The 19,752-nt window shown below is 44.6% G+C and overlaps 1 protein-coding gene across 2 annotated transcripts in view, besides 7 other annotated features; it reads right to left on the bottom strand.

The window, feature by feature from the left end:
- Positions 253-1,452: an enhancer, noted in NCBI's record as "P300/CBP strongly-dependent group 1 enhancer chr7:137558107-137559306 (GRCh37/hg19 assembly coordinates)". NCBI's record gives its function as "activates an origin of replication core promoter dependent on BRD2, BRD4, P300/CBP, MED14 and CDK7 cofactors, with strong dependence on P300/CBP, by STARR-seq in HCT116 cells {active_cell/tissue: HCT116}" and the evidence as "EXISTENCE:reporter gene assay evidence [ECO:0000049][PMID:35650434]".
- Positions 1,871-19,752, bottom strand: part of CREB3L2 (cAMP responsive element binding protein 3 like 2) — a 127,108-nt gene continuing 109,226 nt past the window's right edge. For both annotated transcript variants that reach the window (NM_194071.4, NM_001318246.2), the window contains exons 9-12: positions 12,295-12,394; positions 11,887-12,013; positions 9,304-9,520; positions 1,871-7,443 (exon numbers count right to left, since the gene is read on the bottom strand). In NM_194071.4, coding sequence (NP_919047.2) covers positions 7,368-7,443; positions 9,304-9,520; positions 11,887-12,013; positions 12,295-12,394 — 520 coding nt within the window. In that variant the 3' untranslated portion in view covers positions 1,871-7,367. The remainder of the gene's footprint in view (positions 7,444-9,303; positions 9,521-11,886; positions 12,014-12,294; positions 12,395-19,752) is intronic.
- Positions 5,525-6,256: an enhancer, noted in NCBI's record as "NANOG-H3K27ac-H3K4me1 hESC enhancer chr7:137563379-137564110 (GRCh37/hg19 assembly coordinates)". NCBI's record gives its function as "activates a minimal SCP1, AML or CMV promoter by ChIP-STARR-seq in primed H9 embryonic stem cells {active_cell/tissue: H9 hESC(primed)}" and the evidence as "EXISTENCE:reporter gene assay evidence [ECO:0000049][PMID:30033119]".
- Positions 5,525-6,990: a biological region, named in NCBI's record as "NANOG-H3K27ac-H3K4me1 hESC enhancers GRCh37_chr7:137563379-137564110 and GRCh37_chr7:137564111-137564844".
- Positions 6,215-6,509: a silencer, noted in NCBI's record as "tiled region #739; K562 Repressive non-DNase unmatched - State 14:Gen5'". NCBI's record gives its function as "represses a minimal TATA promoter and a strong SV40 promoter by Sharpr-MPRA in K562 cells {active_cell/tissue: K562}" and the evidence as "EXISTENCE:reporter gene assay evidence [ECO:0000049][PMID:27701403]".
- Positions 6,257-6,990: an enhancer, noted in NCBI's record as "NANOG-H3K27ac-H3K4me1 hESC enhancer chr7:137564111-137564844 (GRCh37/hg19 assembly coordinates)". NCBI's record gives its function as "activates a minimal SCP1, AML or CMV promoter by ChIP-STARR-seq in primed H9 embryonic stem cells {active_cell/tissue: H9 hESC(primed)}" and the evidence as "EXISTENCE:reporter gene assay evidence [ECO:0000049][PMID:30033119]".
- Positions 10,461-10,962: an enhancer, noted in NCBI's record as "H3K4me1 hESC enhancer chr7:137568315-137568816 (GRCh37/hg19 assembly coordinates)". NCBI's record gives its function as "activates a minimal SCP1, AML or CMV promoter by ChIP-STARR-seq in primed H9 embryonic stem cells {active_cell/tissue: H9 hESC(primed)}" and the evidence as "EXISTENCE:reporter gene assay evidence [ECO:0000049][PMID:30033119]".
- Positions 11,649-12,206: an enhancer, noted in NCBI's record as "H3K27ac hESC enhancer chr7:137569503-137570060 (GRCh37/hg19 assembly coordinates)". NCBI's record gives its function as "activates a minimal SCP1, AML or CMV promoter by ChIP-STARR-seq in primed H9 embryonic stem cells {active_cell/tissue: H9 hESC(primed)}" and the evidence as "EXISTENCE:reporter gene assay evidence [ECO:0000049][PMID:30033119]".

Genomic DNA, 19,752 nt, shown 5'->3' on the forward strand with positions numbered 1-19,752 from the left:
ACATGGTAGGCACTCAATAAGTGTCTCCTTTTCCAGGCCAGCAAGTTAATGGTATAACTAGTGCAAGAACCCATACACCTCTATGTTCTGAGTCCCACTCGTTTCTTCCCCCCACTGTATCCAGGTGTTCCCTTGCCTCTATGGCACTCATTCTCAGAGATATCAAGTATGACTTTACTTGGAACCTGAGCATAGGACTAGGGTTTTAGACACTGCTTTCTCTTGCCATGAACAAGCCACACTGCTCCGTAGAGATCTCACTTTTCCTCTCCAGAACTTAAGTGGCAACCAGTGTGCAAAGAGATAATAGATCTGTATTCCCTCAAACTAAATCACAGCAGGCCCATCTGTGAAACCCCAGATGCCCATGAGTCTGGGATCAGCCTCTCATTTGATATTCATTTTAAAATGTAGGTTTTATGGTATGATTATTCGGGTATGGTGAGGCCAGCAGATTTTTATGGTATGATTATTTGGGGATGGTGAGGTCATTGAAAAGAAAAGACAGCTTGTTACTCATAGTTCCCAAGAGGAGAGGGGATGTCACGCAAGCCCATCTGGGGAAGCACCAGGGTGGCTCAAGAAGCAGGAAGAATGAAGGGAAAATGTGAGCAAGGGCTTTTATTGTGGTTTATGCAGGAAAAAACAGGCAACACAGGGTACACAGGTTTTGGATTGGCTAGTTTGAATAATTTCAGTAGGCTGCGGGGTTAGAGACTGTCTCTAGTTGTCTGGTACCTGGCCCTAGGGTACCTAGGGCAGGGGGAGAGTAGCCCAGAGTATGAAAGGCCACAGAGGAGGTGGCTGGGCTATGGGCTCCAGGTCGGTTTGTATATGAAAGGCATGCTCCTAAGCTAGGAATGGGCTAGCCCTCGCACGGGTGGTCCCTCCAGGGTCGGCAAGGCCCTAGATGTCAAAGCATTAGGAATTCAGAAAATGGAAAGGCATGATTAATACAGAACATTCTCAAATCAGTGAGTATTTGCCCTCTCCACACACCACTGAAAAGATATCAGCATATTGGGGGGTGGAGGAGCTTCAGAAATAGGCTCCCCACAAAAGAAAGAGTGGGGCATGATAATGAAAGCCTCTGAAGGGAAAGGCCCCCTTGTGTAACAACAAAAGGTCAAGGTGCTCTGAAGAGGACAAGATAGAGCAGATTAATGTACCCTCAAGGCCAGGGCAGGGTTGAGCATGCTGCTAAGGAAAAAAAAACACAAAACAAACAAACAAAAAAATCCCATGTTTTGTTTTTTTTTTCCAAGTAAGCACAGTCCCTGGCCTTAGTCTCTCACATCCCAAGTCAGTCTGAGACTAAACGAAGCCCCCACTCTCTGAGTGAAGAAAGCTACATTTGGATTCAGACATTGTAATGGAACGAAGATTACTCTGCTTGAGTGCACTGACCTTTATCAACCATTTCATCAGAATTTCTGGAGCATGAATCTGTTAGACATCCTCTGCAACTGTTCGTAGGAAGAAGGATCATTCCTTTCTGGCTCAAGTCCAAAGGATCTTTCTCAAGCAACCAGAGATGGGGAAAGCAAAATCAAATCCACAGACAGTTGAAATCTAGTTAGGGAATAGTTAGAGGAGACAATAAAAATAACAGTCATGCTGCATAAGTCTCTAGAGGATACTGTTTTTCTTCCCGTGGCTGCCTGAAAAAACAATTACATTCTCAATATTCCTCCAACTAAGGCTTGGATTCAGTCCTATATAACATACCAATTGCTGGTTTGAGGCTCTTCTTTCAGGCCAAGTAGATATCCAGGAAAGAACGGTTCGGCACACATACACAAACCCATGTTCATAAAAAAACAACATGCTTTTCAAATTAGTACCAAGATTATAAAGACTGGGCAACATCTTACTATTTAAGAAAAAATATTTATTTGCAAGAAATGGAAATACAAAAGCATAACAATTTCAATTTATTTTTTTTTCCCAAACTAAGTACAAGTGTCCTACAAAGCTTTTTTTTTTTTTTGGTATTTACTTAGCTATGATAAAGAATAAAAAGTCATTTAAAAAACGCGATAGGACAGATAACAGACTCACAACGTATTTAGATTTAAACACTGCTGGTCTACGTAACCTGTTACAAAAGAGAGCAAAACCTAACTGTCAGCATAGACATTAAAGCTCACCGTTGATTATAGCTCAGGGCCTGCTCAGCATTGTTTAAAAAGGGTCACTCACAGTTTTGTCAAAGAGTGCTGGTGTTCTCTATGAACTCATAAACTGTTTTATCTGAAAAGGTGATTTTCTAAGTAGTGTAAGCCATGGGTACATGGTGCAAAAAGTTCATGTTCTCACTCAGCTGGTGAGCGAAGGATGGGAGCAGAGAACAGAGCTAAAACCCCTGGTTTTCCTTTCCCCAGATGTAAAGCCTGCTAGCTGGAACTCACAGAAGATTGGAACAAAAAGATAGGAGATGGACACCTGGGGGACTGCTCCAGCACGAAGGGAAGCGATGAGCATCACACAGCAGGGCCATTGCAGGGGACAGGTGCTGTAATTCCTGCCCAGAGAACTTGAAAGCTTACAGTGTGCTCACAGGAAGGAATCGGCTCAGCTAGTCCAGAAATTGCTGCATTTCCCATATTACTTAGTTCTTTATTCATCCTGTGGTAAAGAGTCACCCTTGTTTTCCGTATCTATAAAACTGAAAGACTTAAAATTTACTTAGCACAGCACGCAACACCCTAGTAAATGCTCAAGAAATATTATTTCCCTTCCTTCTAGAAACCAAGGCTAAATAAAACATTCCTGAATTTTATGTTGTCCAAAATAACAAAACAAAACAACACCTAGTTTTTTCCTGTGTTAAGTGCTGACCCTTTGACCACAAAGGCATGGAACATTAATCTTCAAATGAGCCAGGTTCCTTTGCCCTGAGAAATGTTCCGCTATGAGGATTTATAATACCTTTAATCCTGGCTGGTTGTTTTTTTGATGTGATTGCACTCCTGCAAACTGGGATTTTCCTAATGGACGTAACCCTATTTCTTTTCTCCTGATGTGCAAATCTGATAGTGGCTCACTTTTAGGAAACCACTTTTGAGCCTTCAGAAAAAAATTTTTCCCCACACCCAACTCAATCTAATAATAAAAGAATATATACAAAATCTCCCAGTGACGAGGGATTCCTCAGTCATCCTGGATTTACCTATAAGGCACATTTAAGGCACAAATGAGCATGTAAGGGAGGAATGTGCACGTGTGTGTGTGTGTGTGTGTGTGTGTGTGTGTGTGTGTCAGAGAGAGAAGAAGGGAGAGAGAAGTATAAGCATTTGGGTCTTTTGAATAACTATTATTAATGTTTCCTCAATCCCTTCTATTCCCCAATATTCCCTAGGGCCTCAGGCAACACTCTTCCTTATGAAACTGAAAAGTCTTAGGAGTAACTGAATGAGTGAGTGAATGAACGAAACATCTAAGTCTTGTCTCTGGATCCTTCACAGCCCTCACGTCACCACCACCTACTCTCTCCTGTAACTGCCCTCCCAGCGGGGCCTATCCTAGCATGTGTCTATGGATAGTCTCACCTGAAGGTGGCCAAATAAAATGACTCTCAAGAGGGCACTACCTGCCCATGGCTTCACAGGTCCAGCCAGCCCAGCAAGCAGAAGTGCTGGTGTCTTTAACCCAGGTTTCTTAAAGACTGGCTTCAATAGAACCAACTGTAGTGACTTGGGGCAGAGGAAGGGGAGGATGAAGGTCTTCTAGTGCATCTCTGCCCTCTCCGTGTTGGCAAGGTTGGCATGAATGGGCCATTATTCAACTGGGGGTGGGATGTCTCCATTTCTGGACTGTGCTCAAATTCACACCTTGTATGACATGTGGGCAGAGGAGCTGGCCTGGAGAGGCCTCTAATTCTGCCTCTACGCTTTTGCTGGGTCTGAGGACATGGGAGGGAGGAGCCATAAAATGCTGGAGAACAATTTTAAAAAACACTTATGAAAAAATGCTGGACACTTGACTCACTGCCAGAACAAAGAAGAGCCAATTCAACATCCCAACTTTACGGGCACGTAAGATTCACAAGCTGAACCAAGAGATTTAGGAAGAAAAAAAAAAACATGGTAATTATAAGGGGTCTGTGAATAAGTTAAACTAAAAGCTGCTTTCACAATCTACAAATTAGGCCTCCAAATCAAAATCATTTATATTAACCAAAAGGTTATCTAATTTTGCCCATATTGGTGTCAAATCTCATCCCCACTCCCTGCCAAAAAAGAGCAACCTAGTTCAGCTGTCGGATTTTTATATAACACTCTCTTTATGTGAGCTAGACTCCAGAGTCCTCACACTTCACAGAAATTCTTTCTTAAAACTGGCACTGCAGCCTTTCATTTACAATATCCCTTTTTAAGTGCAAAGTCGAGGGCTGTGAAAAGAACCACGGTGGGGGGTCTGGGTTACTCAGGTCTTATCCAGTGAAAAATTAGTTCTCTGAATCTTTGCAAAACATCTCCTTCACTGGTGCAATCTAAGAAAGGGAAATGGGAAACTTGTTTACATGATGAAAAATATAATTAAGAGATTGACTCTTTATGGCTTATGGCCGCTCTGACAGACTCGTATTTCTCAAAACTTACATTCAGAAGACACTGTCTGCCACTATTTGAAATCTTTAGAGCTAATCATAAGTTAATGACTAGTCTAAGAGGCCACTTGGTGGGGAAAACAAATCCACTGATATTCTGGTCTTAATCCCTGAACAGAAAATGTGCACACATCCATTAACTATTTGGAACCAATCTGGTGCTATACAACTCTTCTGTGTCCTCTTGACCCCATTTTGTCCTCCTAAAGGGACAACTGTTAGTTCCTTTAACCCACTCAAGCAAGGAGTGGAGGGCAGAGGTTTATCTAAAAGAGCAGTGATGTTGGTTCTTGGAGCCCCCTTAAAAGGGCCATCTGAGCTCTCTGCCTAACGTCCCATTGTCTACATAGATTCCGTTTTGGAAGGATGGTTTCCCAGAGAAAGAGTCCTGCTGTTTGGAGGTCGAGAGAGAGTGACGTCAAGCAAGCGTAGTAAGGGAGAAAATAAAATCCTCAAAGCACTAAGGACAGGGGCTAGAAGTTTCCTTTATCTTCTCCCTCCTCATTTAGAAGAGCACGTTTCCTACTCTACGTCTGGGAGCCTTGAAAACCCAGTCTGGTTCAGTTGCAGCAGGTACATGGGTTGGCTCATTCTCTCACTTCTGCCCCTAAATTTGAAACCTTTCCTTCCTCATTGCCCAAATGCTACTTGAGTAAATCTTATCTTTTTGCCTTCTTTGGGCCCTATAGGCTGCCTATGCCTGATAATGACCTGACAGTTTAAAAGAGAGGGATGGGTCAGTGGAGGCCCATGGTTACCAGACACCAGCCAGGCCCAACAGGATCTGGGCTGCAGACAGTGGAGCAGAGAGAAGCAGAAGCAGAACCTACTAGCAACCCTCCTCCTGCACAGCTCAGACAGTCTCCGCCCTGGCTAATGGGAGGGACAACAAGAACCCTCCAGACAACAGGGCTGCCAGGACTACGGGGGCCCGATCCAGCTTCCACTCACAGTGAGAAGATGAACTTGGCCGCTTTCCAGGCTGGAACCGTCTCCAGCATAGCAGAGAGAGGGGAATCACTCACAGGGAGCCCCAAATGGGCCTAGACAGACAAGGCAGGGACCGACTTATGAGGTATGACGACAAATGTTAATAACATCAAATCCTGTACCTGATATGGAATGGAAGCCAGGGTGTGGGCTTAATCCCTCTAAGTACAGGCTCCAATAACAATGCAGATGACGTGTGTGGGGGTGGGTGGTGGGGGGAGAGAGAGAAGGAGAGACAGAGAGAGAGAGGGAGAGAGAGAAGCCAAAACCAAAGGCATTTCAGCTGCTAATAAAAATAAAATACAAACTCTATGCACATTTCCTACACAAAATCTTTCCCAAGCTCGGAAAAAACACTTGAGGGTTTTCTACATTACACAATAAAAAGGCAATTTCCACTTCTTATTTATATGAAAGAGGAAAGATTTTTTTAAACTACAAAAGTTACTTTTAACCATAAAAAAAAAACAAAAAAACTAAAAGTAGGTTGGGGATTAGGTTGTATCTCTTTGGGCGAGCTGCAAAGTAGCCAAACCTGACTACCAAAGGTAAGAATGTGGATACACAAATGTCACCTACCCCACCCTGCTTTGTTGAGGTAGGGGACGAGGAGGACAAAGTGGAAGTGTGGAGGGAGGAGGGGGCCAGGCAGGTGTGGAAAGCCAGCAAGGTTGTCTGAAATGTCTGTTGTCAGAACAGGGCTTCCCCTTCTCTGTCATGAAAACAGGATAGAAAAAGCTTGTGGCCAGGGAGCCCGGGGCCTGAGTGAGGCATTGTGTCATCTCTCGCTCTGAGCTCATCCTAGAGGCAGACACATACATGCTCAAAGGAACTTCTTTTTCAATGGTAATTATTCCAGTTAAAAGAAAAAACAAAGGAAAGGAAACAAAACATTGTCTGGAAAGACACGGGATCCCAGAGCCTAGGGTGCCCTCCTAGCTCTGAAGGCTCGCAGAAAACTTGGCTAGCTTGAAAGGAGGCATCGATCTCTTCAGTGTGGTTGCTAGCAGGAAGCCTCGGCAAGCTAATAAATACTATTTACAACTGGGGAGGAGAAGCTGGGGAGGCAGAACTATGGATGTGTGGGGAACCAGGTTGTGGGAGGTCCTAAAAGCGACAAGATGGGGCAGGTTTGCCTGGAGTAGAAAAGCCTGATCCCCTCAGGCATTGCACTTGCGGCCTGAGAATATGAACGAGAGCCCTCGCCTGCCAGTGCTGCTGCAGGAGACGAGACGATCCAGCGAGGGCTCCCAGGGGGCAGAGTGGGCGGAGGGCTGCTGTCGGGGGTGTTCACACCAGAGACCCCAGTGCGAGCAACGGAGGACACGGGTCAGTGCTTTGCCAAATACCAACAGGCATTATGGCATTTTTGTGGCCAGAGTCTGGGGTCTTGACTGAACAAGAGCCATCTCGTCTCCAAAGCGGGGGGTTACACCTCACAGGTGCACATTAGGCAATATCTTTTTGGCACTATTGGTGGAAACAAGCCTGCTTGTCCCACCTCCAACCCCTAAAATAATTTCCTATGGCAGTAAGAGAAAGGAAGGGAGGGATGCAGGCTCCCTTCTGCACAGGAGGGGCATGGACCAGGGGGAGATGCTCTCTCACTGCAGGGAAGTCCCAGGCTGGTCTCCAATCTGAAGCCACTAATGCTTGCCCATGTCTCCATGAAGATCCAGTGGCAAAGAGGAAAAGCTGATGACAAAGGTGGTTTGGGGATGTAAAAGTAGAGTTAAGGGAAAGGGAGGGGGTGCAGGCAGCCTCTTTAGAAAGTGGTGTTCACTCTTCTGTCGAGTTCTACAACTTTTAGTGTTTCATTCCCCTCCAGTTTGGCGCTGACCCTGTGAAGGCATTAAAAGGAAAACGAAGTATTAGTCACCAGCTGTTAGCTACAATTCTCATGCTTTGTAGCGTGATGCAATCATTCAGGGGTTGCAACTTGGTGAGACGGCCTGGGCATGTTTCTTGTCCTTTTCTCTCCTAGTAGCAATTCTCTGTTTCCAAAGTCCCCTGCTACCAGCCTCTCCACTAGTCCACATTCCTACCTTTATCTACACCCAAGGCATCCCAACCCTACTAAGGATAATCATGGTGGCTTGATATTGATCTGCTATGAGATGCATTAAATTATTCTATTTACTTAGGATGTTTAGCCCTATGCTAAACTCAGGGAAGGAGAAAATAAAATGATAAGAGCTGATCCTTGGCCTAGAAGAGCTAATAATCCAGATAAAGATTTTTAACAATGAGCTAATTTGAAATAATAATAAATCCATAACAGAAAATAAATACATTATTAAATTGTGTAACAACCTGGAAAATTTCTAGGCATTCAGAGGAGGGCTAGGAGGCTTTGTTATCTAGGAGACATCACAGAACAAATGGGATTTGAAGTGGGCCTTGAACAGCTTAGCTGAGAGAAGAGAAACTGTGTCCAGAGCCAAGTAAGAAGGCACTGGGTCTTCTAGAGATCCCAGCGGTGGCTACATTGGCAAGTCTCTCTATGACGGGAATAATAATGATGCCTTACCACATGGGATACTTAAAAGGATTTGTATGATACTGTTTCAGTAGCCCTCATCCGAAAATCTAAAATCTAAAATGCTCCAAAATCTAGAAATTTCCGAGCATTGACATGACGCTCAAAGGAAATGCTCACTGAAGCATTTTGCATTTTTGGATTAGGGATGCTTAACTGTTAAGTATAATGCAAATATTCCAAAATCTGAAATCTATAACACTTCTGGTCCCAGGCATTTCAGATAAGGGATAGTCAACCTGCCTCACATCTGTAAAGTGCTTAAAATAGTAAGTGCTAGTAAATGTTAAATATGTATGTATAATGTACACACATAAAAGTACTTCATTATAAACCTTCCCCTGCAGAATTAGGGGATGAAAGCTGAAGAATCTGAAACAAAATCTTTCCCATTTACATCGGAACGGCCTCATTTCTGGGAGGCATAGGAGCAGAGTTCAGCTAAATCACCAACCATGTCACACGTAACCAGGAGCATGCATGCAGGCCCAGGGACCTCCCCTATTACAACAACAATACCTTGCAGTCGCATAAGCCTTTATGTTTACAAAGGGATTTTTCCCAGAAACTGAGAAACAACTCATGTAGAATTGGAGCCAAATAGAGGTTGTTCTCAATATGGAAATGTGTGCACAGTGCCTCTTAAATGGTACCCCTCAACATACATCTATAAGTATAAAACTATAATATGTATAGTTTTAATTAACACATGTGTATTTACATATAAATCATAAACATATATTGACATATAGCACAATATATATCTACTCCCTAGTTGAAGCCATGAAACATGTCTTAAAGTTGGATTTGCACAGCAAACACACTGTGGTTACCTGGGCTGTGCATTCACTCGTGTGGCTTGGAAGGGAGGATGGAGACAGTGGGGGAAGGGATTCAAGCACTTCTTTGTGCCACCACGCCAGCTCCCCGCTGATGCAGCAGACATAGGGGAGCTCACGCTGGTTTTTTTCCTCATCTCTGCTCAGGGCAACTGTTGGCCAGCAACAGACTCTCTGCAGTCCCAGGTCCTGGAAATAGGTCCTGAGAGAGCTGAGGGACTGAACCAGGCCTATGGAGAGTCTCAACCTCACATCTCAGGTTGCTGACTCATAACCCACCATCAGTGCACTAGAGGAGTTGGCTCTGTGTCTCTATGACTCACAGGTGCTGCTGCAGCTCCAAAAGCACTGACTTCTCCAGGCTGGTCTCATTCGAGATAATGAAATGGGGAAGATCCACATCCGGCCTGGACTCCAGCCCTGACACCCTGAGCAGGGAGGAACCTCTATCCCAGCCCCCCAGCTCCCCAGCCGAGCCCGGGCTGGATGACTCCTCTGGGGGAGAATGTTCCTCGTAGATCAGCAGGTTTCTGGATCTCACTGAGGACAGAGCAGAATAATAAGGTGTTAGCAAAAGACCACAGGGGTCCAACACATTCCCTCACTCCAGGTGCTCAGGGCTGGTGGCAGATGACAATGTGTGTGTTCTCGTTGCCCAGAACCATGGGTGCCAACAGAATTTGGCTTTCTATAAAGACTTTAGAGCTTCGGAGTTTGTGCATTGAAAAATTATACCAATTATACAGTGCTGGAAGAACAATAGAAAAGCAAATAAACACAAGGCAAACTACCACCCCCACTGCTTTGAAAATATAAAACTCCCCCCTTACCACCCATAACCATCTAGGGAAAATGATTCATGGAGAATGGGAGTGGAATACTTGGAGATGTCCAGACCCAGCTAAAAGAAGCAGCATTCCCAGTGAGTAGGTCTGGCAGGGGGATGAGGTACAGGGCATCTCATTTAGAAAGGGAAGAGGAGACACAAAGCCAAAGCCATAAATCAAAGGATAGAGACAATCTCCTTTGTTTTGTAGGACAGTCACACAGCTAGATGGCTCTGTAGCAATTTTCCATGACATAGAAACTATGCTTCCAATTAAATTTAGAGAGATAGTTCCTTGGGGGGAAAAATTCTCAACAGGCCACTGAAATTATTTAATTGGAATGCTAGCACTTCTGTCATACCTGGCAGAGACACACCTGCCTGGTGAAGACCACAGACGTTTCAAGATGGCAAAATTTTCCCTATCCCAAATCCAGTACAGTAGTCCTCCCTTATCCATGGGGAATACATTTCAAGACCCCCAGTGGACGGCTGAAACCGAAGATAGAACTGAACCCTATATATATGGTATAAGGTATATATGTATGGGAAAAACCATACAGGGTTTATATATGGGCATATAGCATGTAGGGTTCATATGCCTTTTCCTATACATATGTACTTATGATAAAGTTTGATTTAGAAATTAGGCCCAGTAAGAAATTAACAATAATAATAAAATAGAACAATTCTAACCATATCTTCTAATAAAAGTTACATGAATGTGGCCTCTCTCTCTCAAAATTTCTTATGGTGGTGTACTCAGCTATTTTCAGATAACTGCAGGTATTTTTATTGGCTGCAGGTAGTGTTTCTTACTATAGTGTATTCAGCTATTTTAAGGTAACTGCAGGTATGTTCATTGGCTACAGGTAACTGAAAGCTTAGAATACAAAACCTCAGATAAGGGGGGACTACTGTACTGCCTAACCCCATGCTCATTCCTATAGGTGTAGGTGTGAATTTGTGTGTGTATTCCTTACTCACCATCCCTTTATTTCTAGGTGAGAACACCATACGCTTCTTATCTGACACCGGAGTCCCCATATTCTCTAGATCTTGGGCATAAGGTTTTGGAAGGCAGGCTGATTCTTTTTGTTTGTTTGTTTGAGATGGAGTCTTGCTCTGCCGCCCAGGCTGGGGTGCAGTGGCACGATCTCGGCTCACTGCAACCTCCGCCTCCCAGGTTCACGCCACTCTCCTGCCTCAGCCTCCCAAGTAGCTGGGACTATAGGTGCATGCACCACCATGCCCAGCTAATTTTTGTATTTTTAGTAGAGACGGGGTTTCAGCATATTGGCCAGGCTGGTCTTGAACTCCTCACCTTGCTGATTCTTTTTTTTTTTTTTTTTGATGGAGTCTCGCTCTGTCGTCTAGGCTGGAGTGCAGTGGTGCGATCTCGGCTCACTGCAAACTCCGCCTCCCAGGTTCACAATATTCTCCTGCCTCAGCCTCCCCAGTAGCTGGGACTACAGGTACCTGCCACCACGCCCGGCTAATTTTTTTGTATTTTTTAGTGGCGATGGGGTTTCACAGTGTTAGCCAGGATAGTCTCAATCTCCTGACCTCGTGATCTGCCCGCCTCGGCCTCCCAAAGTGCTGGGGTTACAGGCGTGAGCCACCACGCCCGGCCCTGACCTTGCTGTTTATTTAATTTCACTTTACAAGCCCTTACTATATACATTGCATTACATTACTCATACAATTCCACTCAGTGGAGGCAGAAACACAGCAGTTCTCTTAAAACGTCACAGAAAGCGACAGACTCTTTCCCTCATCTGCTTCCCTCTCCCTTATCAGAACTCAAAAATTAGATGTCAGAATGGATCAGGGAACACAGTCTAGAACAGCAGTTTGCAAACTGTGCTCTGTCAAGCTCTGGAGAATTCCCAGTGATGCCGCAGTCCAGTGGATGAGGGGCCCCAGGGGAACCCCCACTTGCCTCTTCAAAGGGAGAAGCTCCACTTTTACCACTTTTTAAACATTGGACTTTCACAGAAGATTCCTTTTGGAAGACTGAGAAACCCAGCTCTAGGGAAATAAAACAAGACCCTGCCCAACTTGCCACATGCTGTCTTACCCACGGAGGCTGTGTAGGGCTCCTGCAGGGAATGCTGGCTGGGCAGAGCCATCTTGGTGGCAGAAGGATAGGGCCCGTAGCCTTGAAAGAAGCTGCCGAATGCAACGGCAAAGCACAGCACCACAACCTGTGGGAGAGAAAGAGGGGAGAGAGAACACGAGGGGCTGTGGACTTCAGCCTCTGGACAGCACAGCTTTATACCCAGGGACACAGACTCTCCTCTTCAGGCCAGTGGACTGCACCCACCAGTCACATCACCAGAGTGCCTCACCGAGGAACAGCCTCAGAGTGGAGTTCCTCCATGTGGTTTCTCCTACAGCACAGCACTTGGCCTTGGCAAGTGGAGGGAGAGGGGAGACAGGGGCCAGGCCAGGGGCGGTCACTGTGCTACCCTGCTGGGAAGCTCACCATGAGGCAGGTGCCAGTCTGCGTGCCAGCTAACTTGCAGGTTCGAGAAACCTTGCCCATCACCAAAGTCTGAAGCTTCTGGAGTTGCTGAAGGAGAGTCCTGCCAATGATAACAACAGCCGTGAGGGGAGTCTGACAGAGAAGAGATGCTTTTTGATCTCTCCATGTGACCCAAGAAGGCCGCCGTGCCTTTGTGCCTGCATTTCAACAGAGCCCCAAGGGACAGTTTCCTCTGGAAGAAGATACGAACACCAGTACCTTCTAGCACCATTGTCACAGAGCTCACTGGGGCTCAGAATCAGCCTTCACACTTGAAAGTCCTGTTCTTGCACTGCCCTGAGTTAGAGGTAACTGCCTCCACATTACCCCTGACAGGCTGTGGCTTGTTTCTCAGCGATTGAGAACAAAGGAAAAGGAACACTCTGATTGGATGGTGGCTAAAGTCAGAATGGTTGTGTCTCTCCTAAATTCCTATGCTAAAACCCAGTCCTCTATGTGACGGTATTAGGATGCAGCACCTTTGGGAGATGATTAAGTCATAAATGGAGCCCTCATTGATGGGATTCGTGCCCTTATAAGGAGCTGAAAAGACTAGAGTGCTTCCCTTCCACTATGAGAGGACACAGCAAGAAGCTGCTTTTTGTGAACCAGAAAGCAGGCCCTCGCCCAACACGGAATCTCCCAACACTTTTATCTTGGACTTCCCAGCCTCCAGAACTGTAAGAGATCAATTTCTGTTGTTTGTAAGTGACCTCGTTTATTACATTTTGTTATAGCAACCTGAACAGACTAAGAAAATGTCGATTAAAAGAAGAACTCATTTAAGCAAGAGATGAGAAACATTGACAAAAACATAAAAAAGGGACAAAGGCAAAGAGAAGGAAAAATAAAAAATGACCAGCAGAGAACAACAGAAGGAGTGGCCAGAGGTGGGGGCTGTGACTGGAAATGCCAACAGAGAGTAACAGGCATTCACAGGCAGGTTAGAAGAGAGAGAGAAAGGCCAGAGGTGGGGGCTGTGACTGGAAATGCCAACACAGAGTAACAGGCATTCACAGGCAGGTTAGAAGAGAGAGAGAGAAAGGAGAGGAAAAACAAGAACGGCTCTGTTTAAGGCAGAGAGGCAAACAGCCACCTGCAGCTCAAGCCTGTGGTTCTTAAACGCTCACAGCACCTCCAGAGTCAGGAAACGAAGCCAACATATGAAAGAACAAAGATGCCTGCTCAACTGGACCCTCAAGCCCAGAGTCAAGGGTCTTTAAAACCATCCTTTGAAACAGATTCTAGCCTTTCTCCAGGAAAAAGACAAGAGAGCAAGAGCAGAAAAAAAAAAAGGAGACGTTTTATCCCTAAAATTGGACAACTGTGCCTCTCCTTAAAAGGCAAAGTTTGAGGGATAAGAACAGTCTTATATACTCTGCTCTGTGTGACATCAGCACACAGAGCAGATGGTAAAATTCTTTGCAAATTCTGAACACTGCAAGGCATAGAAAAGGATCTGACAACACACCCTCCTGAGTTAGAGCACCCGGGAAGAGTTCCCTGTGAGTGGTGTAAAGAGTTGAAGCTCCTCCTCATCCTCATCCCCCACCCCCAAACCCAGTGCATATGGCAAAGTGGAAAGATTTTATGAGCAGATGCTTTCTCTTGGGTCTCAAGGATTCTCGGAAAATGTGTGCTGTGATGTAACAATGTTAGACAGCCACATAAGTTCACTGGAAAACATCATCAAATCATTTGTTCACAGAATGCTGTGGGCTTTCGCAGATAACTTGCTTCTCACCACAGTCTACCCCCGAATAGCATTCAGGTGCTAGAAGGACAAGCAGATTTTTCCTGGGCTTACATCTTCACCCCCAGCTAGTACCAATGAAACAAGTTCTCCCAATTTGAGCAAATTAAGGACAGGTTGGCCACAAGAATGATTTTGCTTTCAGCAGTTTAAATGGATAGGAGTGGTGGGTGAATTGGAGCAGCCCTCAGCACACAGAGTAGATGCTTTCTGGACTCAAAACTCCTTTCTGGGCCAGGCGCGGTGGCTCACGCCTGTAATCCCAACACTTTGGGAGGCCAAGGTGGCCAGATCACGAGGTCAGGAGTTCGAGACCAGCCTGGCCAACATAGTAAAACCCTCATCTCTACTAAAAATACAAAAAATTAGCTGGGCACGGTGGCGGGCGTCTGTAATCCCAGTTACTCGGGAGGCTGAGGCAGGAGAATCGCTTGAACCCAGGAGGCAGAGGTTGTAGTAAGCTGGGATTGCACCATTGCACTCCAGCCCAGGCAACAGTGCGAGATTCCGTCTCAAAGAAAAAAAAAAAATTTCTATGCGTTTCTATCTACATGACATTTTCCCCAGGTATAGTGATTTTAATTTAAGCAACACAGAATCATTCATTCTGTTAGTTAATATCACTAATTTAAGTTCTATTTAATGTGAAGATCTTTTTTTGTACTTAATCGTACATTTTTGTTTCTGTTTATATAGAAGTATGATTGAATGTAGTTTAGACCTGGTTTGTATTTAAATGTATTCAGGTACAATTTTTATTTTTCTTTTTTTTCCTGGAGATAAAGTCTTGCTCTGTCGCACAGGCTGGAGTGCAGTGGTGTGACCACAGCTCACTGCAGCCTCAACCTCCTGAACTCGAGCAATCCTCCTGCCTCAGCCTCCTGAGTAGCTGGGAGGGAATACAGGTGTGAGTCATCATGCCCAGCTAAGTTTCTTTTCTTTATTTTTTGTAGAGACAGCATCTCTCACTTTGTTGCCCAGCTCGTCTGGAACTTCTGAGCTCAAACGATCCTCTCACCTCTGCCTCCCAAAGTGCTGGAATTACAGGCATGAGCCACTTGCACCCAGCACCATTTTCTTTAAAAGCATTTTGTATGTTTACTTAATGCTGAGAAATACTCAACAGCATAATTACTCTAAATTCTACTTAAAGAAAGTTTGCAACTAAATGGTTCTATGATGCAGCACCTTTCCTTCCTCATGAAACTTTTTCTCTGTTCTCCCAGGACTTCCCCAGAAAATTCCCTTCCTACCCAACAGCACAGCTGCCTTTTCCTTCTGCACTGCCACTTCCTGAGTGTGCATTCATTCTCACAGCGAGATTTCACTGGCCGAAGCATATATTTGACTCTCTATCACCTGTAATGCCAGCCCCAAAGCCCTTGCTGGGTTCTCCCTGCTGATATTTCTTCAAGTCCTTGGGCAAATTTCCAGGTAAGCCCACAGAAAAGACCACATGGCTCAAACCCTTTCCTCTTATTGCCAACCACTCTCTATGGTAGGAATGGGTCTCTCCTTCCTGCTAAGCTATGAAAAGCGGTCTCCTGTTCCCCTGGCCTGCTCAAGAGCTACTTCTGTAAGTGACAGCTGCCACTTTTCCTGGGCACCTCAGTTTTCCACTGGGCGCTCCTGCTGCCTGTAAGCTGGTGGCCGCAAGGTGCTGAAGTTTAGCTATGCTCTGGGCATGAGGGGGTAAGGTTTCTCCATCCAGGCTTCAGTTAGTACCTTTCCAGATGGTACCAAAGCATGTTACTTTTGCTCCAAAGTCTTAAGCTGTTTTGAAAGGGGAATGACCACTTCCATTTTTTACCAACAATCCCTATTGACCAGCAGCCAGCCCGTACTTCCTCCCTGCCCATCCCCTACCCCTTGCCTAGTCCTTAGAGCATGAATAGCTTTAAAAAAAAAATCCACACAAGGAATCAGTCCTCCCTTCCAATTTCTGGTTGATATCTCTGGGCCCTGTACCCCTTCCCCTAGGATGAACAGTCTCCTAGGAGGCTCCCCAGTGCCTCCTGAAAACAGACTTTCAGCAGGCCAGCTACACCTGAAGCCCACTGAAAGAATATCTTAGGCTCAAATTGGAATCCCCCATTCCCCAGTCACAGGTGTAAAGTGCTACAAGTTGGGAAGAAGGACCCTTCAAGAAGGGCTGGAGAGAGCAGAGAGGGCTGGTGTTTCCTGACTGCACAGCACTTTGCTTGGCATTCACGGACACATCCTTTCCCAACTCAAGATGACTATATTCTGAATCCACTGCAAATGAAAATGGTTGTTTAATAGTCCCTGATTTCTAACAGTTTATAATCTAACTCTTTAAGATGAGCAAACATGTGTTTTAAAATACACATTTTTAGTTCGAAATGTTGGTGGAAAGCGCAACAGTGACTAATAATATGCTGTTTGCCATTGCTTCTCCTACTGGTGCTGGAGAAAGTAAACGGAACTGATGGTGGAAATGACAACATGTGCAAGGCCCCATCAATCAGCAACACTGAGGCATTTCGCTCAGTCATCCCCAGAATCCAAACAGACTTCTATGATCCAATAGAGTTTGGGAAATTCACACACATCCATACAACAGAAACACTCCTTTTCATCATAAAAAGAGAAAATGAACAATGACAGAGTACTGAGTGCCTACTACTTGAGTTCCAAGAACTACATACGCTAAAATACTAAGCAAGCATCTCAAAGTCACGTAGCTAATAAGTAGAGGACCTAAGATGTAAACCAAAACCTATCTGACCCCATAGCTTGTGTACATTCCAACATGGTACAGCATGGTACCCTAATCAATAACCTACTAAAATTAATAATAAAGCATGTCTTAGTTAAGTAGATTTTTCTTAACTCCAGTAACATTAATATTATGTTGACACCAGCCCAACTGAGATATGTCCACCATTAAATATGAAAATATTACTATTAAAAGAGACTAAGCCATAGACGGAAGAGCCACAATAAAACCCATTCTGACGGCAAGGAGATGCATACTAACAAAATTTCAGTAACAATGACACAAAAACCATCAGGGCAAATAAATATTGTGTGGTATTTTCTCTGGATACATCAAAGATAAAATGCAGATAATAGATAAAAGAATCAAGGGTACTTCTTGCCTAGTTAAGGTTCAGGAAGTCAAGCCTGGGCTTTATTTAGAAAAATGGAAAATATAAAACCTGTCTCTCTGTGAAACACCAAAAAAGCTGATGAGATGGCTTTAGAATTGCTAAGCTGATGCATATATATATCAGGAGGATTGGCTCTAAAGGCAAAGACACCTGAGTTTCAATCAGAGGATGACTGCTATGTGCCTTTAATCAAGTTAAGTTCTGAGTTTAGGCAGCTACTCAGATGAATTCCCTTGACCACATCAGCTCATGGAATAATGAGAAAATGCCCCCTCCCAGGGTAACTCTGCGTTTGCTGAAGCAAATACATCTTTGAAGAGTGCTTGCTGTCTCTTTTCACTGATGACAGATGAGGCCAGTCCTTTTTATGGGAAAGCCTGTGACCTCGTAACTGATATGTTGGTTTGAGATGATGTGGCACTTTCTCTGATGTCACTGAGACAGATGTCACTGCCTGCAGCAATGGGAGCTTGGATGACAGCCCCCACCCTACTTGCATGAAGGGCTGGGTGGAGAAAAGACAGCCAGCAGATGAAATGGAAAAGTTATTTTTAAACTACAGCTATAAAAAGTCAACCGCAGGACAGATCCAATGGTGCCTATGAAGCTCAGTATAAACTTCCTCTTTATTATTGTATTTTAAATCATCAGTGATCATGGCTAATTATGGCCTTAATGAATTCTTGGGCTTCCGGGAACAAAATCTTAATTTAGAGAAAGGAATACTCTTAGCATACGTTTATCTGGGCCAACAGATTTTTCACAATTTGTTAAATTGGAGTGTCCAACACTTGATTGAAAATGTGGATTTTGTCCTGTGGTGAGATGTAAAAATAAACTCAGTGGCTATCCTCATGCAGTTCCTTGCAAAAGAGCAGTGGAAAGCAGCTGTCAGCCTTGCCCAAAATAAACCATCACCCTGTATCTTGGGAGGCATATCAAAGGAAATTGGGCAAAACATTCAAAAGAATCCAAGAGTGGGAGACACAATCTTACAATAACTGGGAAATGCATCAACAGTCTCATGTTTTCTTTGTCTTTGGTTTAATTTTGCTTTTTGTGTGTGTTTCCTTATTTACAAAAGAAAGAATGAGAACAGTCATACAGTTATTGAATGTTGGACTTTGAACATTCAGGAACCTAATTTCCCACTGGAGTCAGAAACCAGGAGCAGGAAAAAAAAAAGTGGTGGTTCCCAATTATTTGCTGTGTTGGGAGCTTCAACTTAGGCCCTCTCTGTAGACATACTTTCTTTTTTTTTTTTGAGACGGAGTTTCACTCTTGTTGCCCAGGCTGGAGTGCAGTGGCGTGATCCAGGCTCACTGCAACCTCCGCCTCCCAGGTTCAAGCAATTCTCCTGTGTCAGCCTCCTGAGTAGCTGGGATTACAGGCATATGCCACCACGCCCGGCTAATTTTTTTTGTATTTTTAGTAGAGATGGGGTTTCACCATGTTGGTCAGGCTGGTCTTGAACTCCTGACCTCAGGTGATCCGCCCACCTCGGCCTCCCAAAGTGCTGGGATTACAGGTGTGAGCCACCACACCCAGCCACACATACTTCCATCAAATCTTACAACACATCTTAGAAATGGAACTCTCTGGGGAGTGGTGTGTGCGGGTGCACATATGTGTGTGTGTGCCCATATGTATGTGTGTAAACTATTCCCTGGGTAAATCAGCCTCCTTCAGAGATGAAGGAACTTTTTCACAGCCTTATGGAAGCACCTAGAGCAGTCATTTCCAAATTCCAAATCATGAACCATTTGTGGGTTTGTGAAATCAATTGGGTTGTGACTGATATATGTTTTTAATGAAATGGAGTCAAATAGAATACACAATATCAGAGGGCATTGTATGCTGTAAAGAACTATCGATTTGTGAAGCATTCATATTAGTGAGGTGTATGATGTATATGTACATGTTCATGTGGTAGTCTGGTGTGCCATTTACACTACATAAAATGTAAAATAATTGTACAATCAAAAAAGCCTGAGTGTTACTTATCTAATGCACACAATTAAAAAAAAAAAAAAACAACTTGGTCAGGCACGGTAGCTCATGCCTATAATCCCACTACTTTGGGAGGCTGAGGTGAGCGGATCACTTGAGGTCAGGAGTTCGAGACCAGCCTGGCCAACATGGCAAAACCCTGTCTCTACTAAAATATAAAAATTAGCCAGGGGTGGTGGTGTGTGCCTGTAATCCCAGCTACCTAGGAGTCTGAGGAACAAGAATCGCTTGAACCCGGAAGGCAGAGGTTGCAGTGGGCCGAGATCACGCCACTGCACTCCAGCCTGGGTGACAGAGCAAGACTCCATCTCAAAAAAACAAAACTCAGGTGATGATCAGGTGACCTCATGATGGAAGAGATGAGCATCCATGTCCTTCTGAGGCAAAATCCCCCCTGAATCCCTTCCCACCCCACCCGAGTCACATCTAGAGTTAGTGCCTGGGAGGTTCTGAGGTGAGAAGGGGGTGTCCAACAGCTGAAACCTCTACCTCAAAATCCTGGGATGGAGGGCAGGGAGGTGG

This window comes from Homo sapiens, chromosome 7 (genome assembly GCF_000001405.40).
Source record: "Homo sapiens chromosome 7, GRCh38.p14 Primary Assembly".
In the NCBI taxonomy this organism is placed as follows: domain Eukaryota; kingdom Metazoa; phylum Chordata; class Mammalia; order Primates; family Hominidae; genus Homo; species Homo sapiens.